A 17760-nucleotide genomic window follows, 5' to 3' on the forward strand; every position below is an offset into this window, starting at 1 on the left:
TTCACATAGTCCCATATTTCTTGGAGGCTTTGTTCATTTCTTTTTATTCTTTTTTCTCTAAACTTCTCTTCTTGCTTCATTTCATTCATTTCTTCTTCCATCGCTGATATACTTTCTTCCAGTTGATCGCATTGGCTACTGAGGCTTGTGCATTCATCACGTAGTTCTCGTGCCATGGTTTTCAGCTCCATCAGGTCCTTTAAGGACTTCTCTGCATTGGTTATTCTAGTTACCATTCATCTAATTTTTTTTCAAGGTTTTTAACTTCTTTGCCATTGGTTCAGACTTCCTCCTTTAGCTCAGAGTAGTTTGATCTTCTGAAGCCTTCTTCTCTCATCAAAGTCTTTCTCCATCCAGCTTTGTTCTGTTGCTGGTGAGGAGCTGTGTTCCTTTGGAGGGGGAGAGGCGCTCTGATTTTTTGAGTTTCCAGTTTTTCTGCTCTGTTTTTTCCCCATCTTTGTGGTTTTATCTACCTTTGGTCTTTGATGATGGTGACGTACAGATGCGTTTTTGGTGTGGATGTCCTTTCTGTTTGTTAGTTTTCCTTCTAACAGTCAGGACCCTCAGTTGCAGGTCTGTTGGAGTTTGCTGGAGGTCCACTCCAGACCCTGTTTGCCTGGGTATCAGCAGCAGTGGCTCCAGAACAGCAGATATTGGTGAACCGCAAATGCTGCTGCCTGATCGTTCCTCTGGAAGTTTTGTCTCAGAAGAATACCTGGTGGTGTGAGGTGTCAGCCGCCCCTACTTGGGGGTGGCTCCCAGTTAGGCTCCTCAGGTGTCAGGGACCCACTTGAGGAGGCAGTCTGCCTGTTCTCAGATCTCCAGCTGCGTGCTGGGAGAACCACTACTCTCTTCAAAGCTGTCAGACAGGGACATTTTCGTCTGCAGAGGTTACTGCTGCCTTTTGTTTGTCTGTGCCCTGCCCCCAGAGGTGGAGTCTACAGAGGCAGGCAGGCCTCCTTGAGCTGTGGTGGGCTCCACCCAGTTCGAGCTTCCTGGCTGCTTTGTTTACCTACTCAAGCCTGGGCAATAGCAGGTGCCCCTCCCCCAGCATTGCTCCCACCTTGCAGTTTGATCTCAGACTGCTGTGCTAGCAATGAGGAAGGCTCCGTGGGCATAGGACAATCTCAGCCATGTGTGGGATATAATCTCCTGGTGTGCCGTTTGTTAAGCCTGTTGGAAAAGCATAGTATTAGGGTGGGAGTGACCCAATTTTCCAGGTGCCATCAGTCACCCCTTTCTTTGACTAGGAAAGTGAATTCCCTGACTTGTTGCGCTTCCTGGGTGAGGCGATGCCTTTCCCTGCTTCGGCTCACACATGGTGCACTGCACCCACTGTCCTGCATCCACTGTCCGGCACTCCCCAGTGAGATGAACCCGGTACCTCAGTTGGAAATGCAGAAATCACCCGTTTTCTGTGTCGCTCACGCTGGGAGCTGCAGACTGGAGCTGTTCCTATTCGGCCGTCTTGGCCTACTTATACTTTTTAAAACATACTTTTAGTTCTGTGCAGGATGTGCAGGTTTGTTACATAGTATACACTTGCCATGGTGGTTTGCTGCACCCATCAACCCGTCATCTACATAGGTATTTCTCCTAATGCTATCCCTCCCCTAGCCCCCCACCCCCAACAGGCCACAGTGGGTAATGTTCCCCTCCCTGTGTCCATGTGTTCTCATTGTTCAGCTCCCACTTATGAGTGAGAACATGCATTGTTTTGTTTTCTGTTCCTGTGTTAGTTTGCTGAGAATGATGATTTCCAGCTTCATCCATGTCCCTGCAAAGGACATGAACTCATCCTTTTTCATGGCTGCATAGTATTCCGTCGTGTATATGTGCCACATTTTCTTTATCCAGTCTATCATTGGTGGGCATTTGGGTTGGTTTGAAGTCTTTGCTGTTGTGAACAGTGTTGCAATAAACATATGTGTGCATGTGTCTTTATAGTTGAATGATTTATAATCCTTTGAGTATATACCCAGTAATGGGATTGCTGGGTCAAATGGTATTTCTGGTTCTAGATCCTTGAGGAATCACCACACTGTTTTCCACAATGGTTGAACTAATCCACACTCCCACCAACAGTGTAGAAGTGTTCCTATTTCTCCACATCCTCTCCAGCATCTGTTTTTTCCTAACTTTTTAATGATCGCCATTCTATCTGGCATGAGATGGTATCTCATTGTGGTTTTGATTTGCAGTTATCTAATGACCAGTGATGATATGCTTTTTTTCATATGTCTGTTGGCCTCATAAATGTCTTCTTTTGACAAGTGTCTGTTCATATCCTTTGCCCACTTTTTGTTGGTATTGTTTGTTTTTTTTCTTTTGAATTTAAGTTTTTTGTATCTTCTGGATACTAGCCCTTTGTCAGATGTATAGAATGCAAAAAATTTTCCGATTCTGTAGGTTACCTCTTCACTCTGATGATAGTTTCTTTTGCTGTGCAGAAGCTCTTTAGTTTAATTAGATCCCATTTGTCAATATTGGCTTTTGTTGCCATTGCTTTTGGTGTTTTAGTCATGAAGTCTTTGTCCATGGCCATGTCTGGAATGGTATTGCCTAGGTTCTTTTCTAGGGTTTTTATGGTTTTAGGTTTTGCATTGAAGTCTTTAATCTATCTTAAGTTAATTTTTGTATGAGGTGTAAGGAAGGGGTCCGGTTTCAGATTTCTGCATATGGCTGGCCAGTTTTCCCAATGACATTTATTAAATAGGAAATCCTCTCCTCATTGCTTGTTTGTATCAGGTTTGTCAAAAAACAGATGGTTGTATATGTGTGGCATTATTACTGAGACCTCTATTATGTTCCATTGGTCTATATATCTGTTTTGGTACCAGTACCATGCTGTGTTGGTTACTGTAGCCTTGTAGTATAGTTTGAAGTCAGGTAGCCTGATGCCTCCAGCTTTGTTCTTTTTACTTACTATTGTCTTGGCTATACACACTGTTATTTGGCTCCATATGAAATTTAAAGTAGTGTTTTCTAATTCAGTGAGGAAAGTCAATTGTAGCTTGATGGGGATAGCATTGAATCCATAAATTACTTTGGGCAGTATGGCCATTTTCACCATAATGATTCTTCCTATTCATGAGCATGGAATATTTTTCCATTTGTTTGTGTCCTCTCTTATTTCCTTGAGCAATGGTTTGCAGTTCTCCTTGAAGAGGTCCTTCACATCCCTTTAAGTAGTATTCCTAGGTATTTTATTCTCTTTGTAGCAATTGTGAATGGGAGTTCACTCATGACTTGACTCTCTGCTTGTCTATTATTGGTATATAGGAATGCTTGTGATTTTTGCACATTGATTTTGTATCCTGAGACTTTGCTGAAGTTGCTTATCAGCTTAAGTAGATTTGGAGCTGAGACAATGGGGTTTCCTAAATATGCAATCTTGTCATCTGCAGATGGAGACAATTTGACTTCCTCTCTTCCCATTTGAATACCCTTTATTTCTTTCTCTTTCCTGGTTGCCCTGGTCAGAACCTCCAATACTATGTTGAATAGAAGTGGTGAGAGAAGGCATCTTGTCTTGTGCCAGTTTTCAAAGGGAATGCTTCCAGCTTTTGCCCAATCAGTATGATATTGGCTGTGGGTTTGTCATAAATAGCTCTTATTATTTTGAGATACAGTCCATCAATACCTAGTTTATTGAGAGTTCTTAGCATGATGGGGATTTGAATTTTATTGAAGGCCTTTTCTGCATCTATTGAGATAATCATGTGGTTTTTGTCATTGGTTCTGTTTATGTAATGGATTATGTTTATTGATTTGTGTATATTGAGCCAGGCTTGCATCCCAAGGATGAAGCCGACTTGATCATGGTGGATAAGTTTTTGATGTGCTGCTAGATTTGGTTTGCCAGTGTTTTATTGAGGATTTTTGCATCGATGTACATCAGGGATATTTGCCTGAAATTTTCTTTTTTTGTTGTGTCTCTGCCAGTTTTTGGTATCAGGATGATGCTGGCCTCATAAAATGAGTTAGAGAGGAGTCCCTCTTTTTCTATTGTTTAGAATAGTTTCAGAAGGAATGGTACCAGCTTCTTTTTGTACCTCTGGTAGAATTCGGCTGTGAATCTATCTGGTCCTGGGCTTTTCTTGGTTGATAAATTACTGCCTTAATTTCAAACATTCAAGTCTGCTGAAGCTGTGCCTACAGCTGCCCCTTCCCCCAGGTGCTCTGTCCCAGGGAGATGGGAGTTTTACCTATAAGCCCCTGACTGGGGCTACTGTCTTTCTTTCAGAGATGCCCTGCCCAGAGAGGAGGAATCTAGAGCAGCAATCTGACTACAGCGGTTTTGCTGAGCTGCAGAGGGCTCCTCCCAGTTTGAACTTCCCGAGTGGCTTTGTTTGCACTGTGAGGGGAAAACCGCCTACTCAAGCCTCAGTAATGGTGGACAGCCCTCCCCTTACCAAGCTCGAGTGTCCCTGGTTGACTTCAGACTGCTGTGCTTGCAGCAAGAATTTCAAGCCAGTGGATCTTAGCTTGCTGGGCTCTTTGCGGGGTGGGATCCACTGAGTTAGACCACTTGGCTCCCTGGCTTCAGCCCCCTTTCCAAGGGAGTGAACGGTTTTGTCTCGCTGGAGTTCCAGGCACCACTGGTGTCTGAAAAAAAACTCTTGCATCTAGCTCGGTATCTGTCCAAATGGCTGCCCAGTTTTGTGCTTGAAACCTAGGGCCCTGGTAGCATAGGCACCCAAGGGGATCTCCTGTTTTGCGGATTGCAAACACTGTGGGAAAAGTGGAGTATCTGGGCCGGATTACACAATTTCTCAAGGGACAGTCCCTCACAGCTTCCGTTGGCTAAAGGAGGGAGTTCCCAGATCCCTTGTGCTTCCTGGGTGTGTTGACACTCCACCCTGCTTCAGCTTGCCCTCTGTGGGCTGCACCCAGTGTCTAGCCAGTCCTAATGAGAAGAACCAGGTACCTCAGTTGGAAATGCAGAAATCACTCACCTTTTTCCCATTTTCCCTCACTTTTCTCTATGCTTTGCTCTCCAGCCATCTTGGACTTTCTCTAATTTCATAAATATGTCACTATCCATTCATCTTTAAGACTTGAGTACTATTTTTTATGTGCGGAGCACTCTTCACTGTGTTTTCTATTATTTATCTTCTATCCTTAGGATCTCTGCTTGAAAGTCAATTTCCCAGGCCAGGTGCGGTGGCTCACACCTGTAATCCCAGCACTTTGGGAGGCCAAGGCAGACGGATTGCCTTAGGTCAGGAGTTCCAGACCAGCCTAGCCAACATGGTGAAACCCCATCTCTACTAAAAATATGAAAATTAGCCGGGCGTGATGGTGGGCTCCTGTAATTCCAGCTACTCAGGAGGCTGAGACAGGAGAATTGCTTGAGCCCGAGTGGCAGAGTTTGCAGTGAGCTGAGATCATGCCATTGCACTCCAGCCTGGGTGACAAGAAACTCCATTTCAAAAAAAAAAGGTCAGTTTCTCATAAGGGCCTTCCCATTCTCCCAAGATTATGTTAGATTTCTTGTGCTCTATAATAATCTCTCCTATAATTCTATAATTTATCTTGACAGTGCTTAACTACAGTTAGTAATTTTATCTATCATTTACCTACCTATATGTTTGTCCATCTGTCCATTCATCCATCCATCTACATATCTGTCATCTATCTATCCATTTATTCATCTATCTACCTATCTATCATCTATCATTTATCCATCCATCCACTCACCCACCCGCTGACCTACCTACCTACCTACTTGCCTACCTGCTTACACAACTACCTAGGGTGATAGTTAATGTTTATCTCCCTCTTAGATCATAAACGCCATGGAGTTCTTGTACTTTGTTAGTCACAGAACAAAACATATAGTATGTACTCAAGAAATATTTTTTGAGTGAGTGAATGAATGAATAAATGAATATAATCTGATAAAAATCTCAATCTGTTCAATTGTATTTTGACTATCATGATTGAGGAATGTGTTATTCAAAGATTTACAAAGTGCACTAGCAGAAAAGCATTATCTTTGCTATCCATTTGATGGTATGACTAGGGTGTAAAGAGTATAGGAATAATACTATTTTATATGCATAATGACTGATAATTTTCAAATCAGAGAAAAATGCCCTCCATTTCCAATGATGTACACTGATAGATAAGAAAATATAAATCTTTGAAGTAGAATATTAGATAATTTCGCCCTTTTTGGCATATCATATAAATGAAATCATTCAATATGTAGCATTTGTTTTCTGCCTCCTTTAACAAAATGCATTTAAGATTTATTTATGTTGCTATGTATCAGTGTTTTTTTCTATTAATTGCTAAGTGTCATTCCATTATAGGTATGTAAGTTCTTTTGAGTCATTCACCTGGTGAAGGACATGTTAGTTGTTCCCAGCTTGTGGTGTTTCACATACAAGTCTTGTGTCAATATAGATTTACAATTTATAATACTTGAATAAATACCAAGAATTTAGATTGAGTGTGTATATTTAATGTTATTAAAAACTACCAAATTATTTTCCAAAATTATTGCATTTTTACATTTCCACCAGAAGTGAGTTCCTATTACTCAACATTTTCCATAGCAATTGACAGTGTCAATCATTGAACTTTTAGCCATGGTAACACATAAGTACTGATTTCTCATTGTGGTTATAATTTAGATATTCCAAATGTCTAATCAAGCTGAATATCTTTTCAAATACTTATATGAAAACATGTCTGTTAAAAAATTTGTCCATTAAAATAACTTTTTCAGCTATAAACAAGTAGAATATTAGAATATCCATAATTATGCTTCCCCATATGAGAAGTCTAACAAGCAGAACCATAAGTTGCCCCATGAGATGCAGAAAAGACATATGATAAAATTTATTCTTTATTATTTATTTTAAAAATAACAAAATAGGAAAATATAATGAGTTTTTTTGAGACATAGTCTCACTCTGTCACCCAGGCTGGAGTGCAGTGGTATGATCATGGTTCAATGCAGCCTTGACCTTCCGGGCTCAGGTGATCCTCCTGCCTCAGCCTCCAGGGTAGCTGGGACTAGAGGTGCATGCACAATGCCTGGGTAATTTTTTGTGTTTTTAGTAGAGACAGGGTTTTGCTGTGTTGCTCAGGCTGGTCTCAAACTCCTGGGCTCAAACAATCTGCCTGCCTTGGCGTCCCAAAGTGCTGGGACTACAGGTGTGAGCCACCATGCCTGTCCTATAGTGATTTTTTAATATACAAATTCATTTAAAAATAATCTCTGTTTTCTCATATATATCAATCATGGAGATTCAGGGGTATTTCTCCTTATATATTTCTTACCCCCAAATCAGCATTATACTTGATAGTGAATAATGAGCATATACATTATAGTCAGGAAAAATGTCAGGATGCCCATTCTCATCACTATCTTTTAACATTGTTTTGAAATTACTGTTAAGGAGTGGGATTAAAAAGATTAGGTGGTGGAAAGATGATGATTTTTGTTTCTAAGGTTTTTCTTTTTTGCTTTATTCCTTTATATGTTATTTATATTTATTACTTTCAAAAAATAAAAACATTATCACTACAAACAGCCATCTCTATATATAAAGTTTACGTTACATAGCATGGTCTATATTAAAAAAGAATTAGAGTCTGACTCACTTCTCAAACTTGCTAAATTCTGTTACTTGGGACTATTGAGAGCAGAAGATTGTAGATTTAGGGGTAGGAGTTAGGCAAAAGTAGAAATAAACCAGGTTGGAGATTTTAGGGTGAGAGGCAGACATTAGTTTTGGTCAATACCATTGTGGAATTTGGAACCAGGTGAAATAAATCATTAAGATTCAGGTGTCAACATAGTCCACCAAGCTTTGAACTAAGGAAGTGTATAGTAAGTACTTCCTACATATCAGGCACAACTTATTTTGGCTGAGTTAATTCTATAAATTTTCTTAAAAAGTAGAACTAGCCATCTTTATTTTACACTGGGGAAATATAGAGAGAAACTAAGTAATCTAGGAAGGCTTGGACTTGAACCCATGTCGGTCTAACTGTAAAGACTACACTCTTAACTACTGAAGTATACTTCTACTTATTTGGAAGCAGCAGCTCTGAACTTCAGGCGAATCTATCAGATTAATTCTGTTGGTTTATCTTTCCCACATGGATACCGTCACTATTTTGAATACTACTTTCAAACTCAGATTTTCCCAGTAATTTACAGGGACTACATTGATTTTTTAAAGCATTTTTCAGAATTTTTTGCCTATAGGTGTATTTTTCAAACTCTGGATTCGAACCCAGTAATAGGTCATGGAATCAATCTAGTGGATTGTGATTAGCATATTTTTTCTTCTTTTATCTTTTCTTCACTCAGACCCAAAGCATCAACACTCATTAGGTAAGCTGCTGCTGACAAAAAATATTGTCATCCTAATAGTGTATTTTAAATGTAATAATGCAGAATAGGAATATGGGGATAAATAGAAAATATCAGAGTTTATTAAACATAGTGATGACGAATATTCCGTGAGACATTATTTCCAAATATACATAGACACACATATTCTTTACATTGAAAGGTTTAAAAGCTACTGGCCTATAGAATATCTTGGCTTCAGATTAAGTGCTCTTTTGTTTCCTGATTTTTATTTCAAGTAAATAAGTCTTGTCGCCCTAATAAAATAAACCTAACTGCAAGCGTAAACATAAAATGGCATACATCTCTAAGTTTATTATTGCACCTAAACTGATGCTTGGCACATAACAGGTTCTCAACAAATATTGTAATAATTGTAAATGTAGGTGAAGAGGCCAGGATAGCACTGGGGAACAGTGGGCAGCTGGCCAAATCCATAGCTAAGCTCTCATAGCTCTGGCCTCCAAAACTGCTAGACCAAGGCAGGACTGAGGGACACGAAACAACAAGATGCAAGGTGTCAGATAGGAGCACTGATTATTTCATGTGGCTTGTCTTTTTTCTGATGATCAATGTGGAAAATATGCACTACAAAGAAGGGGAAAAATACACGTATAATCCTAAAACTGAAAGGTAACCACGATTATTTATTACATTTACAGCCTATTAACATTTGCTACATCTTTCTCCTGTCTTTCCTGTAGTATTACTCTGGTAGTAGCCTATGCATATGCCTTACCATATAATAAATTCTCTTCATAATTATAGTTTTATTGGTTATATAATAGCAAATTCTAGCTCTGTTTCATAGCTTATTCAAGCATTCTCTTACTGTCAAAAAGTTAGATTGTTTCTAATTTGTAATATAAATTATGACCTAACTAGCAGCTTTATGTAAAACTTTTCCTGATTTTTTTATTTCCTTGGATTCTCAAAAATGAAATAAATTGATTTAAAAAATGGACTTTTAAAGGCTCTTGATATATATTATGAGGTCTTGGATCATTCATTGTGATCAAATTTTAAATGGCAAGGCAGTGTTCTAGGACATCCCACTTAAAGGGCCATTGTATTTCTCATATGGATTGATTTTTGATGATTTTAATTACTCATATGCATTTCCTCTTTTGCTACCTGAAAGTATCCATTGAGTTAAATCTAAAAAGTCTCAATTGACCTACAGAGCAATTACCATTTCCCTTACAAATGTTTGCAAAGCCAGAATTTTAACTGTAAATGAGGTTTGTGCATCTATGTTTGGATTGCATATGATGTCTCAGATTTAGGGTACTGATATGGATAAAAGACTTATCCTTTGTTCAAACAATAGTAATATACTGTCTTTATTTTTTCGTTGTATGTAGTGAAGCATGTTGCTTTTCTATATTTATCAACACTGCCCGCAATGTGAGTGGGTGGAATGGAGGATTAATAAGGAAACCTTGAAGCCAACTTATTTTTATGTGTTTCCTAGTTTATTAGAATAGAATCGTATTTTCTTTCTATTCCTCTAACAGTTTATTTTTTTTCCTCAAGCAGACAAATCTTTGTTGTCTAGGAACAAAATTTATATAATGCTCCAGTTATGATAAATCTTCTGATATAGGGGGAGATATTTCTGGTGATAAATTAGACATTTTCTGTAGCCTAGCATTTGATCACAACTATCAAATCTGCCAGCATATATTGAGTTGCCATGATGGTGATTAAGAAACACATATTTCACCAAGTTATATTAAGTTCACTCAATTCTTCTGTTCTTTTTTTTTCTCCAGGTTCCATTAAAAATCAGATTAAAAGAATACCATGAGAGAATGTGCAAGTTAACCTATTCTACCTCTCCCCCTTTTCTGCATCTCAGGACACTTTTCAGGACCCCTTACTATCTCAGGGACTCAGCCAAAGGCATCACAGTAGGTTCAGTCAAAGGCAGTGCCATGGAATGAATGTCTGTGTCCCCTTAAACTCATATGTTGAAGCCCTAACCCTAAATATAACTGTATTTGGAGATGGGACCTCCTAGGAAGTAATTAAGGTTAAACGAGGTCATAAGAGTGGGGCCTTGATCCAGTAGGATTAGTATCCTTATAAGAGACACCAGAGAGCGCGTGTGTGCACTTTCTGTCTTTCTGTCTCTCTCTCCCTGTTTTTCTCCCTGTCTCTCTTTATCTCTTTGTGTGTCTTTCTGTCTCTCTGTCTCTCTCTCTCCTGTGCATGTACCAAGGAAAGGCCATGTGAGGACATATGGAGAAGGTGGCTGTCTACAAGCCAGGAACAGAGCCCTCACCAAAAACTGAATTGGCCAGAAACTTGATCTTGGACTTCTAGCCCCTAGAACTGTAAGAAAATATTTCTGTGCTTTTTAAGTTACCCAGTCTATGGTATTTTTTTATGGAAGCCCAAACCGAATACCAGAAGGTGGGGGTCAACAGTTTGAGGACAGGAGGAGGGGGAGGTCTGCTTACTTCTCACCATTTCCTTCTGCATCCTGTGTTGTCTCTGCAAGTGCTTCTCTTTCATAACTCCAGTCCCTCAAAGAAGACATGCACCCTGAGATCCCACTTCTGACCAAGATGTTTTTTCCCCCATGCCTCTGGCTCCCACACAGTGGAAAGCGCTCCCTTCCATTGTCCCTCCTGCCCTAGAGATGGTAATGGCTTCTTGCTGTTGCCAATCTATCTTTGCACTACTCACCTCTACTTGTTTCTCAACAATTGCGTTATCTATTGTCTTAGTCTGTTTTGTGTTGCTATAACAAAAATACCTAAGACTGGGTAATTTATAAAGAAGATAAATTTATTTTCTCACAGTTCTGGAGGCTGGAAGTCCAAGATCAAGGTGGCAGCAGATTCAGTTGTCTTGTAAGGGCTGCTCTATGCTTTCAAATAGTGCCTTGTTGCTACATCCTCCAGAGGGGAGAAACAGTGTCCTCACATGACAGAAGGTGGAAGGGTAAGTGGGATACATGTTACTTGCATCTACTTTTATATAAGGGTCATAATTCCATTCATGAAGGGAAAAGCCTTTATGACCTAATCACCTCTTAAAGGCCATACCTCTTAATAACATCACATTGACCAAGTTTCAATGCCAGAATTTTGGAGGGAACCTATTCAAACAATATAATCTGGAAAACAGTTTTCTGTAGTAAATCTTTCTGGTTGAAAAACCCAGAGTATGGCTTGGATAGAGTTGACTGCTACAGAGGCATTTTACTTAACAAGGCTTCATCGTTCAGGGTTTAGAATGAATCTTTCAGGTAATAATTGTTGGAGAGTTCATGTAACCACTCTGACTTGTCAGATTAGTAATGTGAAGCCTATTCTACCATCATTTTCTACTAAAGTCTTCCTCTGTTATTCTCATAACTCATAATGCATTTAAACAGCAAAACTGCAAATTAAGTTTCTTCCAGCATATTATACGTTGCTGCATTCACTTTTTATTTTCACTCATATTTCTTTTTTCCTCCCCATCTTACTCAACAAGTTAGTTTTTGTTATAAATATTTTTCAGTTTGAATGAAAAAAAAATGATTGAAGCAAAATGATCCATGATCAAATTTAACACTAGGAGGCTCAGAGAAATCGTGAACTCAGACGCTGGTTTTGTCACTGACTGCTTCAGTAAAATCTTTAATTGTTCTTTAGATGATGTATTGGATGATAAGTTCTGATTCCCACAGATAATTGAGTCCTATACCCCTAGGTTTGAATTTTTTTTTTTTTTGGTCCACACTTTAAATTGTGCCCAGAAAATTCTCTGGATAGAATTTGATTGCAGATGTCTATTATATTCCGATGAACACATATCAGTCAGTCTTCCAAAGCATTTTACAATGAAGTGAAGCTGACCTTGTAATATGGTAGCACACTTATCAGGCCATTAAAATGTCCCTCTTATGTAATAGTAGCCAGTTGCAATTGACCAAAAGAAACTTTGATGGGCTTTCACTTGGAAACTTGTGCAAGTATGTTCTTTATTTTGATTTCTTTCCATAGGACCTTCAGTTTTCCATAGCATGTTTCAAAAGATGGATGAAAGTAAACATGATACAATATTTTAGTTAGGACCTATCTAATGTCTCACAGAGAAGTTTTTCTATGAAGTTCAACCATAAATACAAATAAAGCATGTTCTGTACACAATTCATTGTCATACTTTGATATTTATCAAACACCCCAGGGAGGCATGATGTGCTTTCTTCCCAATTGCTGTATATTTTCAGCCTCCATCAAAAAGTATTATAATTAAGTATTAATATACTAATAGTTTAATTGAAACTATAAAAATAATCTAATTTATAACCTCAGAAAATATATTTTGACCTAAAATCATCAGCATTCATTAGTAAATTGTGTGTTCCTTTATACATTTTAATCTAGTAAATAAGATTCTTTTCTCACCCAATACTGGAATTAGCTTTAGCCTGTTTTCAGTAACCTCTTCCAACCCATATGTAACATCATTTATTGTCACAAAAACCTTCTTAGCTTAAGTCTATTATAATTTGTAAATGTACATAATTTTTCTCTTCTCAAACTTGGTAAGAAATTCGCAAAGTATGAGTGCCTTCATCACCATTATCATTATCAAATAATACTGCTCTCCCCCAAGTGCATGAGGCTGCTGGAGACTACTAAATTACATTAAATTCTTTCTGCTCCATTTTAGCAAGAGAAATTTGCCCAAGTTTATGCAGTATAGAAAGAGAAAGTGAGAGTTAAATATCACATCCACATAATGCACTCCGATGTGCTCCACCAAAACTAGCGTTTTACAGTAATTCCAGTGTACTGTATGTTTTTGTTTTGAACTAAAACGGAACTTGGGAGGAAATTTCATTTTCGATACTGTAAATTTACTGTGAAAGAAATGGGAAATAGTGTCCCCAGGCAGTGTCAGAATGACTGCTGCTTTCCCTTCTCACTGCAATTAGAGTTCTAGCCCCAGGCGGCAGGTAGGTGCAGACACAGGTGACTTGCTTTTGATTGGCAGGCTCATGAAGCAGCTAGATGGGGGATTCCTGGGACTGAGTGGAGGATTCATTTACCTTCAAGGCTGGTTTTGGAAGCCTTGGCTTCCTGACTAAAAAATGTGGATTCTCTTTCATATAGGTTATAATCAAATGTTGCATTGGCAAGCATCTGAAGGACAACCTCCTAAACAGCCAGCATCGCTTGTACAGCTTCTGTAACTGACATTGGTTTGGTTTTGGTTAACAAGTTTTCATGAGAATTTTATAACTTAGTGTTTACACTTTCAGCACTTGATGCTCTTTTTGCCTGCTTAGAGAGCTTCCTTCCAACTGATGCTGTGGCCCAAACAACAAAACATACGGCATAAGAATATGCTTATTTTCCTGAAATTTGTATGTGATTTTCTGACCAAATCACAAATTGCAGAATTAAAAGTATCTTCTTAATTTAAAAATAAGAGAATATCCTGTCTGTACTAAAAATACAAAAATTAGCTGGTCGTGGTGGAGGGTGCCTGTAGTCCCAGCTACTTGGGAGGCTGAGGTGAAAGAATCGCTTGAACCCATGAGGTGGTTGCAGTGAGCTGAGATTGCACCACTGCACTCCAGCCTAGGAAACCGAGTGAGACTCTATCTCAAAAAAAAGAAAAAGAATATGAGTATCATATGAATTTAGTGTTAAGTGAAATAAAATATTTTACAGCATTTCAATACAAAAGTAGTTTCTTTCTATCTAGTATTATCATTTAAATCATAATAGAATGATAGTCTTAGAAATCATAGATGACACAAACAAATGGAAAAACATTCCATGCCCATGGATTGCAAGAATCAATACTGTTAAGATGTTCATACTGCCCCAAGAAATCTACAGATTCAAGCTATTCCTATTAAGCAACCAATATTGTTTTTCATAGAACCAGAGAAAAACTATTCTAAAATTTATATGAAACCAAAAAAGACCCAGAATAAGCAAAGCAATCCTAAGCAAAAACAACAAAGCTGGAGGCATTACATACCTGACCTCAAACTATACTATAAGGCTATAATAATCAAAATAGCATGGTACTGGCACAAAAATAGTCATACAGATAAATGGCACAGAATAGAGAACCCCGATACAAAGTTGCACAGCTGTAACCATCTGATCTAAGCCATCGAAGTTAATAAGTGGAAAAATGACACCCTATTCAATAAATGGTGCTGGAATAGCTGGCTAGCCATATGCAGAAGAATGAAACTAGACCACTACCTCTCACCATATTCAAATATTAACTCAAGATGGATTAAAGATTTAAATGTAAGACATCAAACTACAAGAATCCCAGAAAAAAGACCTAGGAAACACAATTCTGGATGTTGGCCTTGGGAAGGAATTTATGACTAAGTCCTCCAAAGCAATCGCTACAAAAACAAAAATTGACAAGTGGAATCTAATTAACTTAAAGAGCTTCTGCACACCGAAAGAAACTATCAACAGACTAAACAGACAGCCCACAGAATGGGAGAAAATATTTGCAAACTGTGCTTTCCATAGAGGCCAAATATCTGGAATCCATAAGGAACTTAAACAATTGAACAATAAACAATATATAACCCCATTAAAAATTGGCAAAAGATATGAACAGACATTTATCAAAAGAAGACATATGAGCAGCCAACAAACATTAAAAAATGCTCTACATCACTAATCTTCAGAGCAATGCAAATCAAAACCACAGTGAGTTACCATCTCACACCAGTCAGAATTGTTATTATTAAAAAGTCAAACAACAGCAGATGCTGGTAAGGCTACAGAGAAAAGAGAATAGTTTTACACTGTTGGAGGGAATGTAAATTAGTTCAGCCACTGTGGAAAGCAGTTTGGAGACTTCCCAAAGAACTTACAACAGGACTACTATTCAAACTAGCAATCCCATTACTAGGTGTATAGCCAAAATAAAATAAATTATTCTACCGAAAAGACACATGCACTCATATGTTCATCACAGGACTATTCACAATAACAAAGACGTAGAACCAGAGTAGGTGCCCATCAACAGTGGATTGGATGAAGAAAATGTAGTACATATACACCATAGAATACTATGCATCCATAAATAAGAATGAAATCACATCTTTTGCAGCAACATGAATGCAGCTGGAGACCATTATCCTAAGCAAGTTAATGCAGAAAAATAATAAAAAAATACCACATGTTCTCACTTATAAGCAGGAGCTAAACAATGGATAATCATGACCATAAAGCTGGCAACAACTGACACTATTAGAGGGGTCTAGTAGGGAAGGATGGAGAAGGGCAAGTCTTGAAACCCTAACTATTCAGTACTATGCTCAGTACTTGGGTGACAAGATCAATTGTACCCCGAACCTCAGCATCACAAAATATACCCAGGTAACTTGAGTCTAAAATGAAAGTTGAAATTATGTATATATATATATAGAACTGTCTTATAGTCTTAACTTTAGCTTCTTTACTAACTCATCCAGATCCTACTTTAAGTAATTTCTAGACCTGGCTAGTAAACTCTGAGACCGTCCATTTTCACAGCCTGCTGCAGAATAAACTTGGCAGCTGAGACCTGTTCTTTGAATTTCAGGCAGTTGTATCTAATTACTTACTAGAAAGCTCTTCTTGGATGCTCCTTGGACAACTGAAACAACCTATAAAAAACTGAAGTCATTATTTCCCCTATGAAAACCAGTTTCTACACCAGCATTCCTTAGCTCAGTGAATGGGATCCTACAATGCATTCACATTACGTTACATTACACATTACATTTGTCCAAGAAAGAAAGAAACCTGGGAATTGTCCTAGATTTCCTTGGTCCCCTGTATGTTCAATTTTATACACCTTCCATATCTCCTCTCCACTGCTACTTAGTTCAGGTTTTCAACATGTCTTGAATGAAAAGTATGTCAAGACCTATGAATGTATGTATGTGTGTGTATGTGCAGGCACACAGCGTACTCACACCAACATTCTTTGTAATATTGTAACAACAGAGGATTAGTTATATAAATCATTCATGGATAATATTCCATACAATATAATCCTGTGCAGACATTAAAAGATTGATATGTATATATTTTTATATGTAAAGTTCTGCAGAAGGAGGTGTGTAGTATGGTTGCATTTATAACTTATAATGTATATACATGTATATTTGAGTAAACCTGATTTTTTTGAGTGGGGGAAGAATATAACCTGAAAGTGAATAAGTGTTTACATTGGGGATAGGAAGGAAGGGTTGGGTAAGGAAGAAGGATTTTCTGTTTCTTTTCTTTGTTTTAGGTGATGCTTGCATTTTTTTCTCATTCAGTTCTTTAAAAATCTGTTCTTATAATTCCAGTGAACTTCTTCATATTATGATAACTTCTCAGACCTAAGAAACAAGGGATAAAATTTAAATTCAAGGAATACAAGTATAGGAGTAAAATCCTTTTATGGGATGAATAAAATAAGAAGGCAGCTGGGAAGTACTGAAGTAGAATATTTCCCTGACCCCTCTGTGGGACTTGCCCCAGGGGTGCCTCGTTTACTCAGCTCACGGATCTCAACTCCTCCGCTGAAGGGAGCACATGAGCGAATGAGTGCGGGAACGAGTGAATGAGTGCTGGAAGAGGCTGGCTGCTTGGGTGCCGGCAGGATCGAACTCCACTCACTCGGACCCACTGACTTCCACCCTTCATGGGAGGGAGCACATAGGTGAGCGGGTACAGGAACCAGACGGATGCTGAAGTGCCGGCTGGAGTGAACTCCGTGCAGGTCCGCAGCAGTATCCGGGCAGGGTACCCACGACTCCTGAAGCCCCAGAGGGCGCGTTATGGTGCTCGTTTAGCTCTGCTGTCCGCGGACAGCTTAAGTGTTAACAGTTCAGTGAACCCTTTGCCTTTTCACGTGGGGTAGCTGCCCTCAAGCAGCGAAGGCAAAGGGCCAGTGTGGCAGCCTTTTGTGTCTGCATTTGTGGCTCCCGAGCTCTTGCCTAGTGTCCAAAAATAAAAAATAAAAAAAATGAGGTAGCACAAGTGAATTGAATGATGGTAAATGCGGAGCATTTTATTGCCAATTAAAATGGCTCTTAGCAGGAAGGGGAGCTGAGAATGGGACTGATCAGAAAGGTACTAGCCCCCTGAAGTCCGGCCCTCTCCAGCCAAATTCTTCTCCGGTTACATCATCAAGCTGTCCCTCTGAGGCCAAGCCACTTCTCTGCGACGCCCAGCCATAGTTCCATCTACCAGCTGAGTCTGGAATTTTTATAGACACATGATGGGGCAGGGGGCGGGCCATTGGTGGTTTAGGAAAAGGCAACATTCAAGCAGGAAAACAGGGATATAAGTTCTCACTTTGGGCCACGATTTCAGGCTTTTTGGCTTGAGGGTGGAGTTTCTCCAGGGACCCGC

At 38.9% G+C, this 17760-nt stretch overlaps 1 protein-coding gene and 1 non-coding gene across 4 annotated transcripts in view; one reads left to right on the top strand and one right to left on the bottom strand.

The window, feature by feature from the left end:
• Positions 1-17760, top strand: part of GALNT13 (polypeptide N-acetylgalactosaminyltransferase 13) — a 1388282-nt gene that overhangs the window by 370193 nt on the left and 1000329 nt on the right. The gene's annotated exons all lie outside the window — the stretch shown is intronic.
• Positions 8328-8398, bottom strand: LOC124900522 (small nucleolar RNA SNORD56). Its single transcript, XR_007088714.1, has one exon. It is a non-coding gene; the product is annotated as a small nucleolar RNA SNORD56 (small nucleolar RNA).

Source organism: Homo sapiens, chromosome 2 (genome assembly GCF_000001405.40).
Source record: "Homo sapiens chromosome 2, GRCh38.p14 Primary Assembly".
Taxonomy (NCBI): domain Eukaryota; kingdom Metazoa; phylum Chordata; class Mammalia; order Primates; family Hominidae; genus Homo; species Homo sapiens.